A 25,585-nucleotide genomic window follows, 5' to 3' on the forward strand; every position below is an offset into this window, starting at 1 on the left:
CTATCAGTTTGTGAGCAACTTGAGGGCAGAGCCCTAAATCATTCGAGTGTGCTGACCTCTAGGGGGGTTAGTCCAGTGCATGGTCTAGAATTGCTCAAATCGGCCTTTTGAAAAAATGAATCATGTACAATGATAAAGGTGTGGACAGGACCACAAGTAACGGTGTAACGATTAGCAGATTTAAGGAAAAGTCAGTCTAAAAGGAAACGTGAGAAGCTAATTGCAGAAGACAGCCATTTCAAGTCTTCAACAGCAAGGCTGTACCTCCTCACGTGACTTCAGTGTAGACTTTAAGAACCTAAACTAACGCTTCTCGCGAGAGGAAAGATTGACCGCTCGCAAGCGTACATCAGCTGGTGCCCCGCCTTCCCTGGGCCCCACCCACTGCCTGTCCTCATTCCCACCTTGAACCAGCCTTTTGCGCGTGTGACGTCATGGCGCCGTGCGTGGCCTCGGCGGTGGCGCAGGGGGCGGGCCCGCGGCGCGGCGCCGGAGGAGGAAGTGGTGAGGTTGTTGCTCCTTCAGCGCCTATCGCTGGCTCTTGGGGCGCAGAGAGGGGCCGCAGTCTCCGCGGCTGCGTCGAGCTCCCTTGCAGTCCCCTCCATGTTCCCCGGCGCCACTACTCCCCTTCCTAAGGCCGCCGCTTACCCCGGGGTCTATGGAAGTAATGGAAGGACCCCTCAACCTGGTGAGTGTCCCACAGAATATAGCGTTCGTCTTGGGTGCCTTTGCCTCAGGAGCCCGGCCCCGTCCCCGGCGCGTCGGCTAACCCTTTAGGCTGGGAGGTTGGTTTGGCAGGAGTGGTCGCAGAGGCTGTGAGGGGCTGCTAGGCAGGCCCTGGCCCAACTGCGGCTCCAGGCTAGCCACTTCAGACTTTGCCCTCCTGGGGGATCCCCGGGAAGTCCTGGCGCCCCCTGTCGCGGGGCCCCGGGCGAGGGGATGCCACCACCTGGGGCTGCCACCTCCTCTCTGGCTGGGGGAAGTCCTCTTAGCGCCACGTAGCCACCTCCCTACAGCCTGGAGAGGCACTGAAGCCGGCCAAGGCAGAAATGGTGTGATACTGGTTTTAAGTTCTAGCAGCAGGGTCTGAGTCTGAGTCGCCCCGCTTTGGAGAGGTGGAGGAGTGAATAGCCTCCTCACCCTCCACTTCCCCCTCCTCACCCTTCACTTCCCCCTCCTCACCCTCCACTTCCCCCTCCTCACCCTCCACTTCCCCCTCATTTCTCACATACATTCACATGCATAAACTGAGTCTACCGTCTTCCAAATATATTAGAGACAGCTGGGAAAAAGACAGCCGTTCCTGTATTTAGCTCAGATTCATCAATTTAGGCATCATGAAAGTGTAATAGGTGTTTGCTGTTCTCAGGAAAATGGCTGATAGCCTGTTTACTTGTGTTTTAAGGCGTTTCAGGTGTTGCAATTAAAAAACAACACAACAGAACCCCACTAACAACGGGAAGCATGAGTTCTTTTCAGACTGGCCATTGCATCTTTTAGTTTTCCAGAGAGGTTACCCATTTTGGATGTAAAAGTCAGATTACTTAAGGTTGCACACAGGAAGAACTTTTGAGTCACAGGTTTGCAATTCATTTGCGATGGTGGAATTGAAAGAAAGCTCTATAGAGGATTCTTTTCTCACATTAGAACTCTGAGTCCTAGAAGAGCAGTAGAGTCAGGTGGTTTAAGACTCTAGGTTTTGAAGCTATGCTGCTTGGATTTGAATTCTAACCTCGTCACTTGATATCTGTGTTACCTTGGGCAAACTACTTGGCTTCACTCGGCTTCAGGTTTTTTGGGAGGATTAAAGGAGTAAATAGGTGTAAAGCACTTAGAACTGTACTAAGTACATAGTACAGTGTAAGAGTTAGCGATTATAACCAGACCATAAGCCCTTAATTTAAAATCTATTTGTAGAATAAAGGTTTGGACTTGAGCTTTAAAAGCCTAAGATTCTCGGACCAAATCACTGGTGCCAGGTTAACTGTTGTGAGGCGCCCCTCCCTTTTAAGTTGGGTCTTGCCCCAGGTGGTAGGTATTTACACTTAAGACGAATTGGACTACATTTGCGAGTTTTTTTTAACCAGGGAACTGGCCAGGCGCCGGGGCTCACGCCTGTAATCCCAGCACTTTGGGAGGCCGAGGCGGGCGAATCACTTGAGCTTAGAAGTTCGAGACCAGCCTGGGCAACATGGCGAAACCCGGTCTCTACAAAAAATACAAAAATAGCCTGGCGTGGTGGCGCCCGCCTGTGGTCCCAGCTACTCGGGAGGCTGAGGTGGCAGGATCGCTTGAGCCCAGGAGGTGGAGGTTGCAGTGGGCCGAGATTGTGCCACTGCACTCCAACCTGGGCGACAGAGCGAGACTCTGACTCAAATAACCAGGGAACTGTCTTGCACTTTTCTTGTTTTTAAGGCGACATATAGTTGGCAATGAAATACAGTGGATGGCTCAATACTGAAACTTCACAGGAGTATTACTAGAAATAATCAGCTGTTTACGAAGTGCTTCAGAGTTCAGGTGTCCTTGCCAAATGAGCATTGGTTCAGTTCTAGTTAGCTTCACATTATTTGGCTGCAGAATAACCCCCGCCAACTGCCCCACGAATGTGTGATGTTTTAAAAGGAGACTAGAACTGGGTGACAGTTGCAGATAGAACTGCAGAATCACTACCAGTTCAGGAAAAATTAGTTAAATGGTGGCAATACCATTTAAATTCTCCTCCATAAAACGGAGCGAGTTTCGACAGAGTCTTTTTAAGCAGGCTAGCGTAACTCCGTATTTCAGCCATAAAATTTATGTAGGCAAGTATCAGAAATTTGGCATCTTGAATTCTTTTTTTTTTTTTTTTTTGAGATGGAGTCTCTCTCTGTCACCAGACTAGAGTGCAGTGGCGCGATCTCAGCTCACTGCAACCTCCGACTCCCTGGTTTAAGCGATTCTTCTGCCTCAGCCTTCTGAGTAGCTGGGATTTCAGGCACGCGCCGCCACGCCCAGCTAATTTTTGTATTTTTAGTAGAGACGGGGTTTCACCATGTTGGCCAGGATGGTCTCGATCTCCTGACCTCGTGATCCCCCCGCCTGGCCTCCCAAAGTGCTGGGATTACAGGCGTGAGCCAGCGTGCCCGGCGGACACCTTGAATTCTTAAACCATTTGAGTCTTGAAAGATCTAATTTCCAGCATAGTTGTTTATTGGAAGGTAACAGTAGAACAGACGTTGACGGTTACTTGAATGAGTACCAATTACAGGCCTCTGGCACTCAGAATTGTCACTCACAGTTTTATAAGATGAGGTTTTTGAAAATTCAGACTTTTTTTTTTTTTTTTTTTCTTTTTTGAGACGGAGTCTCGCTTTGTCACCCAGGCTAGAGTGCAGTGGTGCGATCTGGGCTCACTGCAGCCTCCACCTCCCGGGTTCAAGCAGTTCTCTGCCTCAGCCTCCTGAGTAGCTGGGATTACAGGCATGCACCACCCTGCCCGGCTATGAAAATTCTGACATTCTTTTATGTCAGTGAACACCTAACTTAGTATCTAGTTGACTCAAGATGAGAGTTCTCAATGCTATAATTTGAATGTCTTTGAAAATTCCACTAGTATTATACAAGCTTTTTCTTTTTCTATACTCAGAGAGTTACTAATGCAATAAGCTTTGTCAAATGACGTCGTAGTGTAGTCCAAATTCATTGTATAAGGACTTATCACAGTACATGGATTTGTAATCATGTGTCCTCAGAGCATCCTCGGAACTTAGTAAGGTGTGTTTTCCAGTTTTACAGATAAATAAGCCTAAGCTGAGAGAATTAGGTAATTACTTAGGTCAGTAACTTAAATACATTATGAATCACGAGTTATTTTGATATCAAGACCTCTTTCTAGCAATGCTGCCATATTGTACTCATCATGTTCATTTCAGTATGGTTCTCATCTATATTGAACTGTAGATTCTGTGTTAGCATTTATTACCTCTGCTCCAGTATTGATTCTTTTATGTTAGGTTTGGCAGTAAGGGCCTTAGAAATTCCTCACAGTGAATTTTTAAGATCTGGAAGAGACTAGTTTGAAATATTCATTTTAATATGTACCACAGAGGTAATGGATTCTAATTATCTGGTTATTGAAGTTTGTCAAAAGAAAAATTGTACTTCCACTGAAGAAAAAAATAGCTAGTCTTTGCACTCTGAATAACTTTGTTTCATTAGGGTTTTTTGGTCAATTTTTCTTTAAGAGACAGGGTCTTACTCTGTTGCCCACACTCAAGGGATCCTCCTGCCTGAGCCCTCCACAATAGCTGGGACTACAGGTTTGCACCACCATGCCCAGCTAATTTTTTCAAAAACTTTTTGTGGAGATGGGGTCTTGCTGTGTTGCCCAAGCTGGTCTTGAACTCCTGGCCTCAAGCAATCTTCCTGTCTCAGCCTCCCAAAGTGTTGGGATTACAGGCATGTGCCACTGTGCCCAGCCTGTCAGTTTTAAATATGGAAAAATTATAACTTATAAAATTAGTGTATATTTAGATATTTCTTTCCGTACACATTTTGTCAGTGTGACTACTGGTAACAAATGTCAAAACTCTTGTGAGATAATTTCTAGTTCTTTGGTTTGTTTGCTGCTGATTTGGAAAGTGATGTCAGATCTTAATTTATATGTGGCTGTTGCTCATGTTTTGCTTACCTCTGCTGCAAAGGGCAGGGTCCATGTGACTGCCTGGCCACAATCGTTTTCTATGTGTTTAGCCCTTAAGAGTGCTGAGAATGTTTGTTGAGTAACAGCTTCCCTCCAGAGTGGTCAGTTCTCACATCACATGAGGTAGTTAATGAAGCCTCTTACTTTCCAGCTTCTGTAAGAAAAGTAGTCAGATATCATGGTCCAAGGAATGGCCTTATGCATACCTGGAGTCCTTATACCTATCCCATTTTAATTATATTGGCTTTAAAATCTTCAAGGTAAAAAGAGGCAATTTGAACCCCTTCTTTGTTGCCCTGAAAAATTCCAAGGAAAATTTCTTTGTCACAAGCTGAGCTAGGCATAATGAAAGCACTCTGGAAAAAGGAGGTAGAGAGTACTAAGAGATATCCAGCAATTATTGCTAAGTGGTAGGATTGGCATCGGGCACGTTATGTATATTTTTTATCTTTTCCTCTTAATAGCTAAATATGAGATATTCCCCCTATTTTAAAGATGAAGACTTTGAAATGCAGGGTAAGTGGTGATAGTAGGATATGAAGGCAAGATTGGGCTGGGCACAGTGGCTCATGCCTGTAATCCCAGCACTTTGGGAGACTGAGGTGGGTAGGTCACCGAGACCAGCCTGGCCAACAAGATGAAACCCTGTCTGTACTAAAAACAAAAATTAGCCAGGTGTGGTGGTGGGTGCCTGTAATCCCAGCTACTTGGGAGGCTGAGGCAGGAGAATCGCTTGAATCCAGGAGGTGGAGGTTGCAGTGAGCCAAGGTCACGCCCTTGCACTCCAGCCTGGGTGACAGAGTGAAACTCCGTATCAAAAAACAAAACAAAACAAAAATTAGCCAGGTGTGGTGGCACATGCCTATAATCCCAGCTACTTGGGAAGCTGAGACAGGAGAATCGCTTGAACCTGGGAGGTGAAGATAGTGGTAAGCCAAGCTCACGCCACTGCACTGCAGCCTGAGCGACTGAGCGAGACCTTGTCGCAAAAAAAAAAAAAAAAATTGGGAGGCCAAGGCGGGCAGATCACGAGGTCAGGAGATCGAGACCATTCTAGCTAACACGGTGAAACCCCGTCTCTACTAAAAATACAAAAAATTAGCCAGGTGCAGTGGCGGGCGCCTGTAGTCCCAGGTACTCGGGAGGCTGAGGCAGGAGAATGGCCTGAACCCGGGAGGCAGAGCTTGCAGTGAGCCAAGATCGCACCACTGCACTCCAGCCTGGGCGACAGAGCGAGACTCTGTCTCAAAAAAAAAAAAAAAGTCTTTCCTGGAATTCTCCAACACTTGAGCGCTTATCTTCAGTATAATTGCGTTATATTACTTAGTCAATTCAGTGCTTATTGATTTGAGATAACTGTTTGCTACTTGTTTGTAGGAGACGCACATTGATTGGGAAAGGGGGAGTGAGTGAGGTTTCTCTTTCAACTGAAGACCCTACCATAAGGTCAGGTGTATGTTAGATTTTCCTCTGCTGCCTTTTCAGTGCTGTGTTCATATGGTGTTCCTTTTCTTTTTTTCTTTTTCGTTTTGAGACAGAGTATCACTCTGTTGCCCAGGCTGGAGTGCAATGGCGTAATCTCAGCTCACCACAACCTCCGCCTCCGGGGTTCAAGCGATTCTCCTGCCTCAGCCTTCCTTGTAGCTGGGACCACAGGCGCGTGCCATCATGCCTGGCTAATTTTTGTATTTTTAGCGTAGATGGGGTTTCTCCACGTTGGTCTGGCTGGTCTCGAACTCTTGCCCTCGTGATCTGCCCACCTTGGCCTCCCAAACCAAAGTGCCTGGATTACAGGCGTGAGCCACCACGCCTGGCCTGGTGTTCCTTTTCTTTTCATCTTTACTTAACAGCTTTCCCCAAGGACACAGAAAAAAATAATAGAAAGTAATACTGTTTTCTTTTGGGAAAGAGGGTAGTATTGAACATGTATTTTTGAAGCAGTTAGCATGTGGAAGTAAAAGGTACTTGTCAGTGATGGCAGTCACTTAGTAACCTAGTTGTTGTAGTTAGGATTTTTGTTGGTTGTAGTTGATGAAAACCCACTTGAAATTAGCTTAAGCCAAAAGAGATAATTTACTGGACTCCAAAGAAAGGTGCAGGAAGGGCAGGGGTATAATGTAGCTTGGTTTATGACCGTATAGAGCCTGTCAGTCCGACTTAATCAGACTCTCCCTCTCTTTTTTTGCCTTTTCAGGCTTGTCTGCTTCACTCCTCCTTTCTGCAGACCTATATTTCCACCTGGCTAGCCTCTGAATGTCACATTAATTAGACTTTCTTCATATTGTCTGCTCCTAAGTTTGAAAATCTGGAGAAGGGATTCTTTAGGTATCCAGACGACAAGGTAATACAACAATGTGGGCCTGGTATGGTAGCTCACACCTGTAATCCTAGCACTTTGAGAGGCCGAGGCAGGTGGACTGCTTGAGCCCGGGAGTTCAAGACCAGCCTAGGCAACATAGTGAAAACCGGTCTCTACCAAAAGAAAAAAAAAAATAGCTGAGCATGGTGGCACATGTCTGTGGTTCCAGCTACTTGAGAGGCTGAGATAGGAGGATCACTTGAGCCCAGGAGGTTGTGGCTGCAGTGAGCCGTTATCATGCCACTGCATTCCAGCCTCTGGGTGACAGAATGAGACCCCATCTCAAAAAAAACAGCAAGGAAATCATAAGGAAGAGAAAATATAGTTCTATACTATAGTTATCAATACCATAAGTTTATGTCAGCTGTTTACAAAACGAATCATCTGTCAGAAATGATGGGCAACCACAGCTGTAGACCTCAATCTAACGTAACCCATCAAGCAATTAAAAAAGAATGTGGGAAGTCCCACAGAATCATATGGATTGCCTAGGAAGTACACAGAGGTGGGACTGCTTTATTGTGAATTTCTTTGAATTACCAGAGAAACATGTTTATGGACTTACTACCCTTTTCTTTTTGAGACAGTATCTTCCTCTGTCCCACAGACTAGAGTGCAGTGGCGTAATCACGGCTCACCGTAGCCTCAACCTCCTGAGCTTCTGATCCTCCTACCAGTCCCTCCTGTAGCTGGGACTACAGGTGTGCACCACTACACCCAGCTAATTTTTCTATTTTTTGTAGAGATGGGGTCTCACTATGTTGCCTATGCTGGTCTCAAGCAGCCCTCCCACCTCGGCCTCACAGAGCGCTGGGATTATAGGCATGAACCTCCGTGCCCAGCCTATTACTTTTTTTTTTTTTGAGATGGAGTCTCACTCTGTCACCCAGGCTGGAGTGCAGTGGCGCAATCTCGGCTCACCACAACCTCTGCCTCCCAGGTTCAAGCGATTCTCCTGCCTCAGCCTCCCGAGTAGCTGGGACTACAGGTGGGCGCCACCATGTCTGGCTAATTTTTGTATTTTTTGTAGACATGAAGTTTCACTATGTTGGCCAGGCTGGTCTCAAACTCCTGACCTCGTGATCTGCCTGCCTCGGCCTCCCAAAGTGCTGGGATTATAGACGTGAGCCTCCGCTCCTGGCCTCAGCCTAGTGCTTTTAATGGCTGTGATTCTACCAAGAACAGTATTTAAAGAGAGACTAGTTTTAATATGTGTAAACTGTAAAAGTTGTTTTAAAAATGAGAAGCACCACCAAGATAGGTTTTCTGTAAAATCTTCAGTTTATAAAAAATGCAATTTAGCTGGGCATGGTGGCTCATGCCTATAATTCCAGCACTTTGGGTGAGTGAGGGAGGAAGATTGCTTGAGCCCAGGAGTTTGAGACCAGCCTGGGCAAGATATCAAGACCCCACCTCTACAAAAAATAAAAGTTAGCTGGATGTGGTGCCGTGTGACTGTATTTCCAGCTACTCAGGAGGCTGAGGTGGCAGGATTGCTGGAGCCCAGGATATTGAGGCTGCAGTGAGCTATGATTGCACCACTCCACTCCAGCCTGGGCAACAGAGCAAAACCCTGTCTCAAAAGTAATTAAGATGAAAATTTTTTTAAAATGCAATTCAGTCTAGACCCAACTATATTGTCAACTTCTTGATGGCAGGTACTTCCATCACTTCTATTGTCTTTTGTAGTACTTAACGAGGGCTATATCGAGTATGTACCAGTACCAGGCACCATTCTAAGCACTGTGATGTTTCAACTAGTTTAATTTTCACAAACTCTTTTGTTTTTGGTGCCATCAAATTTACATAAGCAGACAATAACTTTCATTTTAGAGATGAGAAAACTGAGGCAGATAATTGGGAAAGCCGGGCTTATGTGTCTCATATGTGGTCAAACTGAGATTTGAACGTTGGCAGTCGAGCTCTATAACGAGTTTGCTGTGTGTCTGATAAGAACATAGTAGGAAATGTACTTAAAATACGAAATTTGATTGCTCTGGTGCCAAATAACCTAGAGGAGATGGTGTGTTTTTGTTGAGCTCAGTAATAATCTGAAACTATAATGAGATTTAACTCCTAAATTGGCAGACTGGTTAGAGATTGGACTCTACATGGGGATGTTTTAAGGGAGCTGGGAGAGCCATGAGGACCTGCTCTCACTGTTTGAGAACTTTTTATTTTTTTGGTGTTCAATTAAGAATTTATTCCGTCATCACAGAGTTTGAAGTTTAATTATGGAGCTACATAAATATCCATACTAGAAGAAAGTGATTGAAATCATCAGCGACACACACAGATAGAAAAAAGGTGTTAGAATGAAGTAACCTGAAATAGCATCTCATCCCTGCTTCTTAGAGTGTATCCATAAGCCAGCAACTTTGGCTTTACCTGGGTGGAATCTCAAGCCGTACTCCAAACCTCCTGAATCAGAACCTTTGTTTTTTTTGTTTTTTTTGTTTTTTTTTGAGATGGAGTTTCACTCTTGTTGCCCAGGCTGGAGTGCAATGGCACGATCTCAGCTCACTGCAACCTCTGCCGCCCTGGTCCAAGCAATTCTCCTGCCTCGTCTTCTCAAAGTGCTGGGCTTACAGGTGTGAGCCACCATGCCCGGCCTTTTAGAATCTGTATTTTAACCAGGTGATTTGTATTTTCATTAAAACCTAGAGCCTTATTGCTTATTGATTTAATACCACTTGCTTTAATAGTATCAAAACATGTTCATTAGAGAAATTAGGTTAATCATAACTGCTTGTGCATACTAGCTTTCTTCATCATGTACATTCTTTTCCCAAAATACCTGTATAATTTGTGGGTACTAGAAAATGCTCATGTGTTCAGAATGTATTTTTTGCTCAGTCCAAGTCTCCAGGTTAAAATTCATCCATTATTTTAAGCCCCCAGTCATTTCTTTTCTTTCTTTCTTTCTTTTTTTTTTTTTTTTTTTTGAGGCTGTCTTGCTCTCTTGCCCAGGCTAGAGTGCAGTAGCACGATCTCAGCTCACTGCAACCTCCGCCTTCCAGGTTCAAGCAATTCTTGTACCTCAGCCACCTGAGTAGCTGGGATTACAGGCATGTGCCACCATGCCTGGCTAATTTTTGTACTTTTAGTTGAGATGGTGTTTCACCATATTGGCCAGGCTGGTCTTAAACTCCTGGCCTTGAGTGATCTGCCTGCCTCAGCCTCCCAAAGTGCTGGGATTACAGGCATGAGCCACTGCGCCCAGCCTACCCAGTCATTTCTTGTGACCTATTGTTGTTCCCAGGCATATGTTAAGACTTAGAGGAAAGTTTGATTACTATTTAAAAAATAAAAAGTATCTGAAATCCTGTAATTGAAAGGCACGAATCTTGTCTTTAAGATTGTTGCTTCTTTCCTACAAAAATAGAAGTGGGGAAAAGGCAAACAGCAAGGCATTGCTGGAAGTGCTGTTTTCTACTTTTGTCTTCACCTGTGTTTTATACTGAGTATGATTTGTAAACATGCCCAGAATATTTATAATCTCAGTTGCAAACGTGATTCTGTGAAGTACTTTTATGCAGCATCAAAGGGACATGTCTTTAAAAAGCATCCAAGACAAATCATTTTTCAGCTAACTGACAGAACAGATTTGTTTTTTTTTTGGGACCGAGTCTCACTGTGTTGCCCAGGCTGAAGTGTAATGGTGCGATCTCGGCTCACTGCAACCTCTGCCTCCCGGGTTGAAGCGGCGATTCTCTTGCTTCAGCCTCCCGAGTAGCTGGGATTACAGGCACCCACCATCCTGCTGGGCTAATTTTTGTAGAGACGGGGTTTCACCATGTTAGCCAGACTGGTCTCAAACTCCTGACCTCAGATGATCCACCCGCCTTGGCCTCCGCAAGTGTTGGGATCACAGGCATGAGCCACCATGCCCGATTTTTTTTTTTTTTTTTTTTTGAGACAAGATCTCACTCTGTTGCCCGGACTGGAGTGCAGTGGTGCGATCACAGGTCACTGCAGCCTCCATTACCCAGGCTCAAGTGATTGTCCTACCTCAGCCTCCTCAGTAGCTGGGACTACTACTACAGGTGCGAGCGCCACACCCGGCTAATTTTTGTATTTTTTGTAGAGATGGGTTTTCACCATATTGCCCAGGCTTGTCTCAAACTCTTGAGCTCGAGTGATCTGCCTGCTTTGGCCTCCTAAAGTGCTGGGATTATAGGCATGAGCCACAGCACCCAGCCACTTTTTACCTTTTTTAAGTGATGTAAAAAACACGTGAAGTTTACCTTCTTAATTATTTTTAAGTGTACAGTTTAGTAGTGTTAAGTATATTCGCATGGTTGTGCAACAAATGTCCAGAATTTTTTCATCTTGCAAAACTGAAACTATGCCGTTTGAATACCTACTCCCCATTTCCCCCTCCCCTGTTCAATGATGAGTTGTTCCACCATTCAACTTTCCTGTTTTTAAGAATTTGACTACTTTAGATACCCAATAAGTCGATTTGTATAGTATTTGTCCTTTTATGACTGGCTTATTTTATTCAGTCTAATGTCCTCACAGTTCATCCATGTTGTAGTATGTGTCAGAATTATCTTCCCTTTTTTTTTTTTTTTGAGACACAGTCTCGCTCTGTCACCCAGGCTGGAGTGGAGTGGCGCGATCTCGGCTCACTGCAAGCTCTGCCTTCCGGGTTCACGCTATTCTCCTGCCTCAGCCTCCTGAGTAGCTGGGACAACAGGTGCCCCCCACCACGCCTGGCTAATTTTTTTTGTATTTTTAGTAGAGACGGGGTTTCACCGTGTTAGCCAAGATGGTCTCGATCTCCTGACCTTGTGATTTGCCTGCCTCGGCCTCCAAAAGTGCTAGGATTACAGGCGTGAGCCACCGCGCCCGGCCAGAATTACCTTACTTTTAAAGACAGTACCTTTCCATTGTGTGTGTATACTGCATTTATCCATCTATCTGTTGATGGACATCTGGATTGCTTTCACCTTTTGGCTGTTGTGAATAATGCTGTTATGAATATGGGTGTACAATGCTTTTTGCTTTTTTGTGAAGCTGTGAAGCTTTGCTAAATCGTGTGTGTTTGTTACTGAGGAAAATCGTTACATGAGGTAGAAAACTTTAGCTGATTATCTCTGCCTTTCTCCTTGCTAGTTAAATGTATAATCTTATGTAAGTTACACGACCTCCCCATCAGTCTTTTGGGCCTCCTTATGTAAGAGAGGAAAACACATTAACAAAGTCGTAGTTAAAGCAGCTGAAATAATGTATATTAAAGCTTTTTTTTTTTTTTTTTTTTTTTGAGATGGAGTTTCACTGTTTTCACCCAGGCTGGAGAGCAATGGCATGATCTTGCCTCATTGCAACCTCTGCCTCCCAGGTTCAAGCAGTTCTCCTGCCTCAGCCTCCTGAGTAGCTGGGATTACAGGCGCCCGCAGAGACGGTGTTTCACCCTGTTAGCCAGGATGGTCTCGATCTCCTGACCTCATGATCTGCCCGCCTCGGCCTCCCAAAGTGTTGGGATTACAGGCGTGAGCCACTGCGCCCAGCTAATTTTTGTATTTCTAGTAGAGATGGGGTTTCACCATGTTGGCCAGGCTGGTCTTGAACTCCTGACCTCAGATGATCCGCCTGCCTCAGCCTCCCAAAGTGCTGGGATTACAGCCATGAGCCACTGTGCCTGGACTTAAAGCTCTTTTGAAATTATTAAAGTGTAAGGAGGCCAGTGACTGCTTATTTAATAAGTTTTCCTTCAATTACATTATTTGCTGTTAGAACTTCTGATTTTTTTGACTTTGTTCTTTTGATGAGATATCTTTAAAACAATCTTTGTAATATTAGATGTTGGTATCATGAATTCATCAACTGCAATGTCCAAATTTTTTATTTTAAAAACAAATAGTAACTTTAATGTTGAAAGAATGAGATGATAGAAGAGAAGCTTGGATTTTACTACATGATGAGTGATTTCCTGATTATAGTTTTTAGACTATACAGATTAGTGAAAGTATCTACAAAATAGCTCTTGTTTTGAAAGGAGCTTGTTAAAAATCAAGAAAATAGACATTTTGAATAACAATCTATGATTGTAACTCTTGGTTTATCTCCAAAGAGTGGAAGAATGTGAGTCACTGAAGGAGTTAAGTGCCTGGTGTTAACCTTGAGAGGGCTTATGGTAGAAGTGAAAGAAGTTGCCAGTTCCTTTCAGATGCTGCAGTTCTAGGCTCTACCCATTACATTTCCCCAGCTACAGATAGAGCTGTAATAGTGATTTGATATGTGGCAACAAAACAGTATTATTTATCTTCTTAAAAGGTAGTTGCTTTTTGAAAGAAATCATGTTTTATTTTATGATCCAGAGGAACTTAGGGATGTTTGTCTTCTAGGCTCATCAACAGAGCAGACGAGCAGACCGTTTATTAGCTGCAGGCAAATACGAAGAGGCTATTTCTTGTCACAAAAAGGCTGCAGGTGAGTATTCTTATTAAGTACTCAGTGTAAAACTGAAGAGCAGAAAGTCACAATAGTAATAATGTGTGTTGCTTTTCATATGCAAGACTGATACTGCTGACCCACCAGAATATCAGCTTTGATTATTTTTCAAGTAAGTGTGTTGGATTTCCCAGCTCCTGCTAATCCAATCTTCTTTCTAAATCATGAAGATGGCATAAATGTGGTAAACAGTTCCTGGATACAGCTCTCTGAGCCCAAAGATCCCTAAAAACAGGAGCTGATTGTAACAAGTCTGCCATTTTATCTTAGTTATTATAAAAAGGAGTTTGGGTTTCAAATAGTTGGCCATTTCAGGTTCTAAAAATAGTAATTCAATTCAATTCCAACCAATTCATTTTCACTGAGCTTCTGTTTTCTAACATGCTGATAATGCAAAACTTACTATAAGACTTTTGTTACCTAAAATGTGGGAGATTTTTCCTGTGGTCTTTTTTTTAGCTTCCCTTCTGAATATCTCATCTCTACATGCATGCCTGTAGTAACATGCTGATGTTAGCTTTCATTTCAGTATGAATTTTAGAATTGTTAGCTTCTTATCAAAGACCTAATTTTACCCTAGTCAGTCAAGCAACCTAGCATATGTTGAATTCAGAAATAGATCTTGGGGGCCTGTTTTGCTTAGACCAGTTTCTGTTGGCTGAGTAACCAAAAAACTTTGGGTCCTCGTTAGTGTAGTGGTAAGTATAAAAATAAAAATAAAAAAATTTAAAAATCTTTGGGTAAAGGATGTTTTACTCATGCCTCATCCAAAATGAGTGCAAGTCACCTTTCTTAGGGCAAACCCTGAAGTCTTCTGCTGGCAGGCATGTTCCTTTCCCTCTAGGCCAGTATGATGATCAGAGCCATATTCTTTCTTGACAGAGGCTGCCCCTCCCTTGTTATTTTACTTGTGAAATACAGACTGCAAGGTGGGCAGTAGATTGGATAAGTCTTCTTACTACAGTGGTTTTTGCCTGGAAGTTGGTAATTTTCAGAGAAAATTAAAATTTTTTTTTTTTTTTGGAGATGGAGTCTTGCTCTGTCGCCCAGGCTGGAGTGCAGTGGCACCGTCTCAGCTCACTGCAACTTCCCGCCTCCTGGTTTCAAGTGGTTCTCCTGCCTCAGCCTCCCGAGTAGCTGGGACTACAGGTGTGTGCCACCACCCCCGGCTTGTATTTTTGTAGAGACAGGGTTTCTCCATGTTGGCCAGGCTGGTCTCGAACTCCTGACCCCATGATTGACCCGCCTTGGCCTCCCAAAGCGCTGGGATTACAGGCGTTAGCCACTGCTCTCAGCCTTTTTTTTTTTTTTTTTTAAGTTCTGGGGTACATGTGTAGAATGTGCATGTTTGTTACATAGGTATACACGTGCCATGGTGGTTTGCTGCACCCATCAACCTGTTGTCTACATTAGGTATTTCTCCTAATGCTATCCCTCCCCTAGCCTCCCACCCCCGCTTTTTTTAAAAAAGAAATAGTTTTGCCACTCAAGTGTACTGGAGTTATCTGCTGTAGGGCCAAGCATACAGTAGATATTCCATAAATCTTTGGGTGTTTTTATGGTGAGAGGGCTTTGTACAGTATTAAACATGTCAACTAGTGCTCTTTAAATCTTTCCTAAACCATATTTTGTTATGAATCAGATTGTTAAATCTGTAGTCACTACAAAGACGATGTACCATGTTTAACTATTTAAGAAAACCATGTTTTATATGGATTCCCTAGTGAAACAATACCTTATGTAACCCAAAATGGTCATGGTTACATATATATAACATATGTTAAGTGGAGTGAATCAGCATATGTTAGGCACTGAGCTATGGGATGTTATGAATATATAAAGAGAAGGAAATTTTAGTTGTAACCTAATCCTTGTCTTTGAAGACTTAAAACTGATGTTGGGCTTCAGTTAACCACTCCCCACTCCAGAAAAATACGGCAAACTGTTAGATCACATTAGCTTAAATTATAGAGACAGAACTTAATGTGATTAGTAAATCCCACTGAGTTGATTGGGTTTCCAACTTGTGTTTTAGAATGGAGTTGAAAGTTGACGTGGTTGAAATGAGCTCACTTTTTGAAATTGACTTGCATCTCTAGGGCTTATAACTGGTCTTGGAAGGTATGGGTTAGGTGTATTCTGAAAGGAAGCAACTTATTATTTGGAAATCATTTTAGAGATGTGACAAGGAAAGATCAACATCTGAGAAAGACTAATAGGAAGGAAAGGCTGAACTGAGAGAATTTAAGGGCAAACAGAGGGGACCTGGGTGTCCACCTGTCAAAGATCAGAGGAGATTCTGAGACTAAAAAACTTACCGTGAGATTACCTAGCTAAGGACTTTATAGCCTCTTTGTAGTGTTTGTATTGTAAATGTGCTGAAATAAGTTGCTTGATGTCTCTTGCCTTTTGAGGAAAGGTAGGATCTACTCTTGAGGTGGACAATGGCTGAATTAAATGAAACTGAGCATGTGAGCATTCATTTGCCAGATAAGCACATCCCTAAGTGAATTTCTCTTCTTTCATACACAACAAAAGAACAAAACCTGAAATAAGTTAATAGCCATTGGCAGTGCTTAGAACTCAAAGTGAGCATTTCAGAAGATGAGCAGGCCCCAGAGTACACAGTATTTGGATGGATTTGATGAATATTTTGTTTGAAAACAAATCTTAACCTAAGCCTTTTGAAACTGGTAACATGAAAATGATTCTATCCTTATTCAGAGGCAGTATATTGCTGCACTTTGTATGCGTTGGGACCAGTTTAACAGATTCCTGTTAGAAGAGTAATAGATGTTACTATTTTTTGGTTTTTGGTTTTTGTTTGAGACAGAGTCTTGCTCTGTTGCTCAGGGTGGAGTGCATGATCTCAGCTCACTGCAACCTCCGCCTCCCAGGCTCAAGTGATTCTTCTGCCTCAGCCTCCCAAGTAGCTGGGACTACAGGCATGCGCCATCACACTTGGCTGATTTTTGTATTTTTTGGTAGAGACAGGGTTTCTACCTTGGCCTCCCAAAGTGCTGGGATTACAGGCGTGAGCCACTGTGCCCGGCCCAATGTTGTTATTTTAAGATATTCTTCAGATTTCCTTAGTTCCTTTATTGTATCATTCGCTTAATATCTACTTTAAATTTTAGCCTCGTGTCATAATTAAAGGAAGTAGTTTAACGAGGATTGTTAGCAGTTTTTGAGATACTCTGTTTCTAAATTTCTGTGTTGCTATACTTTTGTTTCTATTGTGAGTCTGTGGAAGAAATCCATGAACATGGAATCAGATTTAAAATAATTTTTTTCTTTAAAAATAACTTTAAAATGCCCCACTTATAAGATTTAAATGTGGGGAATACTTTAAATGACAGTATGATTCTTGTTGAATTCTTTGTGCTTTGGGATATCCTTCTGTAACCTCCTTTGTCATATACAATTTCAAGGTTCTACAAAGGGTGGCATTTCAGTTGGCTAAAGCTTGGTTTTGTGAAAACTATTGTTTGTTAAGAAAGTGGATTTAAAGCAAACTATAGTTCAAACAGGGAGACAAATATATGCAGGCAAGATGGAAGAGATGTCTAAGAAAATGTGTCTACAGTGTATCAGAGCGGTAGCAGAGCAGTTAGAATGTCTCCACAGATTTTTTTTTTTTTTTTTGAAACGGAGTCTTGCTCTGTTACCCAGGCTGGAGTGCAGTGGCGTGATCTCGGCTCAGTGCAACCTCCACCTCATGGGTTCAAGCGATTCTCCTGCCTCAGCTTCCCTAGTAGCTGGGATTACAGGTGCCTGCCACCACGCCCAGCTAATTTTTGTATTTTTTTTTTTTTTTAGTAGAGACGGGGTTTCACCATGCTGGCCAGGCTGGTCTCGAACTCCCGACCTCAGGCGATCCACCAGCCTCAGCCTCCCAAAGTGCTAGGATTACAGGTGTGAGCCACCACACCCGGCCGTCTTCACAGATTTAAACATGAACAAAAGGAAAAGAAATAGTATGCAGCTGTACAGACATACTACAGGAAAAAAAGACAAGGGTTGTGGGAAGGATGTAATTATGGTAAGCATAGCTGGAGCAAAGACTGTATAACCAACTCTGTTTTTTCTTTCCTTTTTTTTTTTTAAATTCTTTTTAAATTGATACAGGGTCCCGCTATGTTACCCAGTCTAGTCTTGAACTCCTGGGCTCAGGCAGTCCTCCTGTTTGGCCTCCCAAAGTGCTAGCCACTGCGCCTGGCTCCAACTCTTCTTTTTCTTGGAAAGGGAGCATCTAATTCAGCAGTCCCAACCTTTTTGCTGCCAGGGACTGGTTTTGTGGAAGTCAATTTTCCATAGACCTGGGGTCAGGAAAATGGTTTTTGGATGATTCAAGCACATTACATTTATTGTACACTTTATATTTTACAATGTAATAATAGAAATAAATAATTATACAACTCAACATAATGTAGAATCAGTGGGAGCCCTGAGCTTGTTTTCCTGCAGCTAGACAGTCTCATCTAGGGGTGATGGGAGACAGCGACAGATCATCAGGTATTAGATTATCATAAGGAGAGTGCAACCTAGATCCCTTGCTTGTGCAGTTTGCAGTAGGGTTTGTGCTATGAGAAGCTAATGCCGCTGCTGATCTGATGGGAGGCAGAACTCAGGCGGTAATGCAAGCAATGGGGAGTGGCTGTAAATACAGATGAAACTTCACTGGCTTGCCTGCTGCTCACTTCCTGCTGTCTGTGTGGCCCAGTTCCTAACAAGACATAGACCAGTACCGGCCTGGGGGTTTGGGACCCCTGATATAATTGTATCTTAAAGACTGTGGTAGAACCTAGCAGGCAAGAACTCTTAAGTTATGACATCAAAGCATTAAATTATTTGGATTAAGACTGGACAGAAAGCAATGCCTCGTAGTATCTGCAAAAGGGCAAAAGAGGAACTTAATGTAGGTATGAGAGATGCCAAAAATGTTTATAACAAGCAAGATAAAAATGGAGATTCATTATGGACAATTCATTGATAATAGAGAACTTATTTATACCTAACCTTGTTCCCGAAAGGTTATAAAATGTCTTACAGATGAATGTACAATAAAATATCGAATGTAATTAAAGATACATAGATAAGGACATCCATAGAGAAAATGAGAAAGGACTAGTAGTGTAGTTCACAAAATGTACCATTAGTTCTTGCATATTTTTTTAAGAACTTGACTTAAGTTTTCTAGCAGTCATCCTAAAGAGGAAAGATAATAATTTTTACATTGGCTATTAAAATTCAAACAAATAGTCACCGAGGATCTAAGATCAGAGAGAAGTTTATTGAAGGTCTTCATAAATGACATTATACTGTCCTCAGTAACTTCCTCGCAGTAAATATGTCAACAAGTTCTTAGGGCTTTTAACCATAAGGCTGATGGTTTAACTCAGAGACAATTCATTAAAAGTGATTCTATAGGAGTCCAAAATGATAGATTCCAGGTATTCAGACGGATAAAAAGTCATTGATAATCTCATGATATTTTTGTGAGTATGATGAGTAATAGGGTTTGGATAGGTTCTTGTTTGATTTTTATCTTTCCTAAACCTATTTTTCTGATTAGACCATCTTCAGTTTCTGAATTATAAAATCTGTAGGAGTTTTAAATAACAAAACCTTCAAGATAGGGTAGGGAATATTTTCATTTTATTGCCACTGACATCCTTTTGGGGGAAGTTAAGAATTCTTTTAAAAAATCCCCAATTGTATCAGAGTTATCAGACCAGTTCTCTTTGTCATATGAAGATTATTAAAACTCTTCCTTTTACCTGTTAATTACAAAATGAAGACACATATTAACATGCCTATTTTTTCTCTTAACAGCATATCTTTCTGAAGCCATGAAGCTGACACAGTCAGAGCAGGTGAGACATATTCCCAATATTTGCGACAAGGGTTAGAAAGGTTTTCTTGTGGAGGCTTGAATTGTGTGTAAAGCAAAGCATTGTGTCCCTCTCAAAATGCTATAGTCAAAAATATATAAAATGGGCAAGGGAAGAGCACTTCACAACGGAAATTAAAACTAAATGAACTGCAGTCGATGCCCCAGACATGGAATGCAGAAACTTCTTTTTTTCTAGTGGTTACTCACAGATCTCAGATTGCCAGCCAGATGTACCTTTTAGAGAGCCCTCTTCGGACCATTCCTAATCATTAGCTCTTATTTGATCATTAGCTTACAGTCAGTAAACAGGCCTGGCCAAGAGGAAACTAGTTGGACCACCCTTTGCTTGTCAAAGATAATTTAAATCTGACCAGTCTCCCACTTGTCTTTGCTTGAATTCTTAAGCAGTTCAGGCACTTTTAAATTTGTTTCACCAATTGCTTTAAATTGTCTTCTGTGTTTGGGGAGGCCCTGCCAAGTGTTTCAAGATACATTTATTCATAAGACTGGGCATGGTGGCCCATGCCTGTAATCCCAGCACTTTGGGAGGCCAAGGCAGGGGGATCACTTGAGCCCAGGAGTTCGAGACCAGCCTTGGCAACACAGTGAGACCCCATCTCTACAAAAACTTAAAAAATTAGCTGGGCGTGGTGGCACATGCCTGTAGTTCTAGCTACTTGGGAGGTTGAGGTGAGAGGATCACTGAACACCTGAGTCCAAGGCTGCAGTGAGCTATGACTGCGCCATTGCACTTCAGCCTCAGCAACAGGGACCCTGTCTCTAAAATAAATATATATAAAATATCTTTTTAAAAACTTTTTGTTATAAAAGTATTAGTTAAAGAGATCATTTCTGTGAGGTATATCAGTGGCAGGGAAAGCCACTAGTTTCTCAAACTGAACCAAGGGAACTTTAAAGTTGTGTTCTATCCCTTTCACTGCCTTTGAAAGTATAGAATCTGCTCATGATACAGGCATGCATTGAGTTATCCAAACACGCGGTTGATAGGAAGACTTTCTTTTTAGCTGTTGGTAGAATTAATATGTCTACAGAGGAAAGATTTCTAATTTTGAGTACAAATGACATTACACATGGGGTCAGGCACATTGAGGAAAACATCCAATTTAGTGTATTGATTGGGAATAGGACTTCTGACTTTCTGAATGGTATTTTTGCAAACATAGTAAATTGTAAATTGTAAGTGTTGGGTTATTCACAAAGGATTTTGAATAGTGTATGTTGGACATTACTAAGATACTTAAAATATTCTTCCAATTTTATCTTTCCTTCTATGTAATAGGCTCATCTTTCACTGGAATTGCAAAGGGATAGCCATATGAAACAGCTCCTCCTCATCCAAGAGAGATGGAAAAGGGCCCAGCGTGAAGAAAGATTGAAAGCCCAGCAGAACACAGACAAGGATGCAGCTGCCCATCTTCAGACATCTCACAAACCCTCTGCAGAGGATGCAGAGGGCCAGAGTCCCCTTTCTCAGAAGTACAGCCCTTCCACAGAGAAATGCCTGCCTGAGATTCAGGGGATCTTTGACAGGGATCCAGACACACTACTTTATTTACTTCAGCAAAAGAGTGAGCCAGCAGAGCCATGTATTGGAAGCAAAGCCCCAAAAGATGATAAAACAATTATAGAGGAGCAGGCAACCAAAATTGCAGATTTGAAGAGGCATGTGGAATTCCTTGTGGCTGAGAATGAAAGATTAAGGAAAGAAAATAAACAACTAAAGGCTGAAAAGGCCAGACTTCTAAAAGGTCCAATAGAAAAGGAGCTGGATGTAGATGCTGATTTTGTAGAAACGTCAGAGTTATGGAGCTTGCCACCACATGCAGAAACTGCTACAGCCTCCTCAACCTGGCAGAAGTTCGCAGCAAATACTGGGAAAGCCAAGGACATTCCAATCCCCAATCTTCCTCCCTTGGATTTTCCATCTCCAGAACTTCCTCTTATGGAGCTCTCTGAGGATATTCTGAAAGGATTTATGAATAATTAAAATGGAAGGCCACAGAAAAGGGGAAAAGAGGAAATAATACAGTAATCGTTAATCCAGCAAAAAGAAATGAAAAGGGAAAACCACATAGAAGGGTAATCCCGGAAATGCTTCATCTGGTGGACTGTGGGAGCAGAGGCATTGCCAGGACTTGGGAAACAGTCACTGTGAAATGCGCTGCGTATCTCATTCACTCACTTCAGCTAATGATTCCGACTTGGCAGACGCTAAACTCATGGAGGTTCGGTTTCTCCTGATACAAACCAAATGGCTACCTGGAAGAATTTCTTTCAAGCAACAGTTATTTTTCTTATCTTCAGGGTTAAAATGTATAAAAGTTATGTGTAATTAATCTATAATGCCATAAATGATAATGCAAAACCTAAATAATATGGTGGCCGGAGGGGCTGCCTTATATTTGAAACATGCTTTCTATCATGCATTGACTGTATGCATTTTGTTAATGCACATTCTGTTTGTTTAAGGTGTGTAAGATACACACCCTTCTAGATGAAACTATATGTGCCACACTTTGCACTACTCATAATGATAACCTCAAGACTATCAGAAGAAATATTTAAATTTCCATTTTATGAAGAAAGGAACCAAATTATTATGCTTTTTAAAACAAATTACCAGTTTACATAATTAATCAGGGTGCATTTTAAGTTCTAACTTCGTTTATTGTATAATGCATCATTTGAAAATACCAAGGAGGAAATACCCTTTGTTTTTAATGATGCAAGAGTGGACGTAATGCTAGTTGGCAGTATTTTATTGTAAGAAATCAATAAAGTAATTGTGTTTTATACCTTTGTTGAACGTGGTTGATAGTTAAAAAGCAAGGCACTGAGTGGCTTCTCTGTGCGTTGTAAACTTTGAATTTGAACAGATGCGGTTAGATGATTACTTTTGTGTGTCAAGGATTTTTTTTTTCTTTCAGTGTTTTGTAGTCCATTTCCCTTACAACTAGGGTGACAGAGAGTACAGAAGTTCCTGAGGTTTAAATGTATTGTTTCCAACCTTTTTCCTGACCACCACATGGAAAATGCTCAGGGCTGCTCTAGGCTGGAGGCAGCTGTCCCTTGGGCACCTGCCACCCTGTCAGAGCATAGTGTGGGGAAGTGCTGCTTTGGATTCTCTCTACCAAGCTGGATGATGTTCCATGAGAAGGAAGGGGAAGAGGAGAATATAAGCAAAACATTTGGGTGCAAGCTACTGGGCATGTTTAAAGCTTGGATTTGCTGTGTGGAATTACAGAAGTGAGAAAAATATATTGCCTTCTCTGAGGACAATTGGGTTGAGGAAGTTGGGTTAGGCTCACAAATCCAGTGACGAAACTAGTAGAAATAGGGCCAGGCGTGGTGGCTTATACCTGTAATCCCAACACTTTGGGAGGCTGAGGTGGGAGGGTCGCTTGAGCCCAAGAGTTTGCGACCACCCTGGGCAACATAGTGAGACCCTGTCTCTACCCAGAAAAACTTTAGCTGGGTGCAGTGATGGCGCGCCTGTAGTTGTGGTTACTCCAGAGGCAGAGGTGGGAGGATGACTCGAGCCTGGGAGGTTGAGGCTGCAGTGAGCTCTCATCACACCACTGCATTCCAACCTGGACACCAGAGTGAGATTCTGTCTCAAAAAAAGCAGAAGTGACCATGGAGAAATCATATTTTTTCCTGTCTCATCTTGCTGCAGATGAAACCAAAAATAAACTAGCCTGCCAAATTGTCTTGAGTTCTATACTTTCTTAAAAGTTACATTAATTTGCTGGGCACAGTGGCTCACGCTTGTAATCCCAGCACTTTGGGAGACTGAGGCAGGCGGATCACCTGAGGTCTGAAGTTCGAGACCAGCCTGATAAATATGGCAAAACCCTGTCTCTTACTAACAATACAAAGATTAGCCGAGTGTGGTGGCATGGGCCTGTAGTCCCAGCTACTTAGGAGGCTGAGCAGGAGAATCACTTGAACCCAGGAGGCAGAGGTTGCAGTGAGCTGAGATTGTGCCACTGCACTCCAGCCTGGGCAACAGAGCTGGACTCTGTCTAAAAAAAAAATATATATATATTAATTTGTTTATCTCAGTGTTGTTGTTTTTTTTATTATTTTTTCTGTTTGGTTGACTAGAATTTCTGTTCTGCTAAATATCTCAGTGTTTTAATATCCTAGACTCGACATTTTACTTGCCTAACCTTGCTCATAAAACTTGACATTTAAAAGCTTGTGCCAAAAATAGTCATGTGTTGCTTAACAAGGATGTGTTCTGAGGAATGTGTTGTTAGGTGATTTTTTCATGTGAGCATCCTAAAGTGGACTTACACAAACCTAGAAGGCAGAGCCGACTCCACACCTAGGCTGTATAGTCTTGCTCCTGGGCTACAAACCTTTACAGCATGGGACTGTACTGGCTAGGCAGTTGTAACACAATGGCATTTGTATATCTAAATATAAAGGTATGGTCTTATAATCTGTCATGTGGCCCATCATTGGCTGAAATTTTATATGGCACATGACTCTATTAGCCTAGCCATTTCTCTCTAAAAGATGAGCTCTGTTAGAGGTACCACTGTACCTCTGCTACTTTCTGCTTCCCAAGGAGGCATTGGAGACTAGGATATTGTGATTTATAAGAAGAAATAAATATTTTGCTGTTTGTCTCTGGTTCCTGGCACAGAGCTCCCAAGTCTGTAATTTCCTGGCTGGTAGGAACTTTTGTTCTAATGTGATGACTCTCAGTGGGCCCCTGGATAGGGATTGGACACAAGAGAGACCAGCATGATTAGAAGCTTAAAACTTTCAGCCCCATGCCCCATCCTTTGGAAGGGGAGAGAGGCTGCAGATTGAGTTACAATTGATTATGCCCATATGATTAAGTCTCCATAAAAATCCCTGAACTACAGGATCCTGAGAGCGTCCGTGTTACGGAACATGTGGAGCTGGTGTGCCCTGAGAGGACACAGAAGCCCCGTGTCCCTGCCCCATGTCTGTCTCCCATCTAGCTGTTCTGATAAGTACTTTCATAATAAATGGTTAAATGTAAATAAGATGTTTCCCTAAGCCATTCTAGCAAAGGATTGAATCCAAAAGTGTGAGGCAGCAGTGGGGAGTGTTGTGGGAACCTCTGATTTGCAACTGGTTGGTCAGAATACCAGGTTGAACCGGGGATTTGTGGTTGGGTCTGAATTAAGGGTAGTCTTGTGGGACTGAGCCCATAACCTCCAGGTAGGTAGAGTCAGAGTTGAGTTAATTTTGCAAGATCACCTACCAGAGAATTGATGTGTGGGAAAAAAAAAAAAAAAGCTCACATCCGGTGCTGGAAGTGAAGTACTGAGAGTGGAGAGAAAAAAAGTGTTGCTTTTTCATTTTTTTTTTTAAGATCATTTTATTTTTTGAGATGGTCTCACTGTTGCCCAGGCTGAAGTACAGTGGATCAATCATGGTTCACTGCAGCCTTGATCCTCCCGGGCTCAAGGGATCTTCCTACCTCAGCCTCCCAAGTACCAAGGACTACAGGTGTGCCACCACACCTGATTTTTTAATTTTTTGTAGAGACGGAATTTCACTATGTTGCCCAGGCTGGTCTTGAACTCCTGGCCTGAAGTGATCCTCCTGCCTCAACCTCCAAAAGTGCTGGGATTACAGGCGTGAGCTACCACGACTGGCCTGGTTTTTCTTTATTCAGAGACCATCTGGTGAGACTTGAGTTTGTCTTTACACTCAACAGAAAAAAACTTCATGTCCATTTTTAATGATAACCCTTCATTTGTGAGCAGTTGTGGTTAGAATCTTGTTTGAAAATGACTAAGATGGATGCTTGTGTGAGGCAGCCTGCCACAGGGTGTTTATAACCTATTTGAAGAGTCAGGGTGTAAACTAATAGTAGCTATTATTTATTGATTCATTCTAGATCATAGGTTATGTGAAGATTAAAAGTGTTTAATTTTAGTATCATTATATTGTGTCATAATCCCAGTGTAGCCTAATCAAAGATCTCTGGGAGTGGATGGCGTGACTGTTTAAAAAAGTAAAGGGCATCCTCAGATTATTTGTTGTTTCCCAGGTGCAATCTTGTCCTTTTACCAGCTACTGCTAACCAACACTGCCATCTGGTGGACAGTAAGAAACTTCTGGTTCTTGTTGGGTCCATTAGCCAGGAAGGGTATTATGGTGTCCAGACTCAAGGCTA

At 42.5% G+C, this 25,585-nt stretch overlaps 1 protein-coding gene across 3 annotated transcripts, besides 4 other annotated features; it reads left to right on the forward strand.

Annotated features, from left to right (window-relative positions):
* Positions 333-582: a silencer, noted in NCBI's record as "silent region_2405". NCBI's record gives its function as "represses an Ori minimal core promoter by ATAC-STARR-seq in GM12878 lymphoblastoid cells {active_cell/tissue: GM12878}" and the evidence as "EXISTENCE:reporter gene assay evidence [ECO:0000049][PMID:35858748]".
* On the forward strand, positions 516-22,212 carry NRBF2 (nuclear receptor binding factor 2). 3 transcript variants are annotated; one of them, NM_030759.5, is made up of 4 exons: positions 516-688; positions 13,397-13,481; positions 19,338-19,378; positions 20,699-22,212. In NM_030759.5, exons 1-4 carry the CDS (start codon positions 659-661, stop codon positions 21,404-21,406), a joined length of 864 nt encoding a protein of 287 aa, NP_110386.2. In that variant the 5' UTR covers positions 516-658; the 3' UTR covers positions 21,407-22,212. The 3 variants fall into 3 exon arrangements, with proteins under 3 accessions (NP_110386.2, NP_001269334.1, XP_047281088.1); NM_001282405.2 differs by lacking the exon at positions 13,397-13,481; XM_047425132.1 differs by lacking the exons at positions 516-688; positions 13,397-13,481 and adding an exon at positions 17,416-17,544.
* Positions 793-1,062: a silencer, noted in NCBI's record as "silent region_2406". NCBI's record gives its function as "represses an Ori minimal core promoter by ATAC-STARR-seq in GM12878 lymphoblastoid cells {active_cell/tissue: GM12878}" and the evidence as "EXISTENCE:reporter gene assay evidence [ECO:0000049][PMID:35858748]".
* Positions 25,276-25,325: an enhancer, noted in NCBI's record as "active region_3434". NCBI's record gives its function as "activates an Ori minimal core promoter by ATAC-STARR-seq in GM12878 lymphoblastoid cells {active_cell/tissue: GM12878}" and the evidence as "EXISTENCE:reporter gene assay evidence [ECO:0000049][PMID:35858748]".
* Positions 25,406-25,455: an enhancer, noted in NCBI's record as "active region_3435". NCBI's record gives its function as "activates an Ori minimal core promoter by ATAC-STARR-seq in GM12878 lymphoblastoid cells {active_cell/tissue: GM12878}" and the evidence as "EXISTENCE:reporter gene assay evidence [ECO:0000049][PMID:35858748]".

This window comes from Homo sapiens, chromosome 10 (assembly GCF_000001405.40).
Source record: "Homo sapiens chromosome 10, GRCh38.p14 Primary Assembly".
Lineage (NCBI taxonomy): Eukaryota > Metazoa > Chordata > Mammalia > Primates > Hominidae > Homo > Homo sapiens.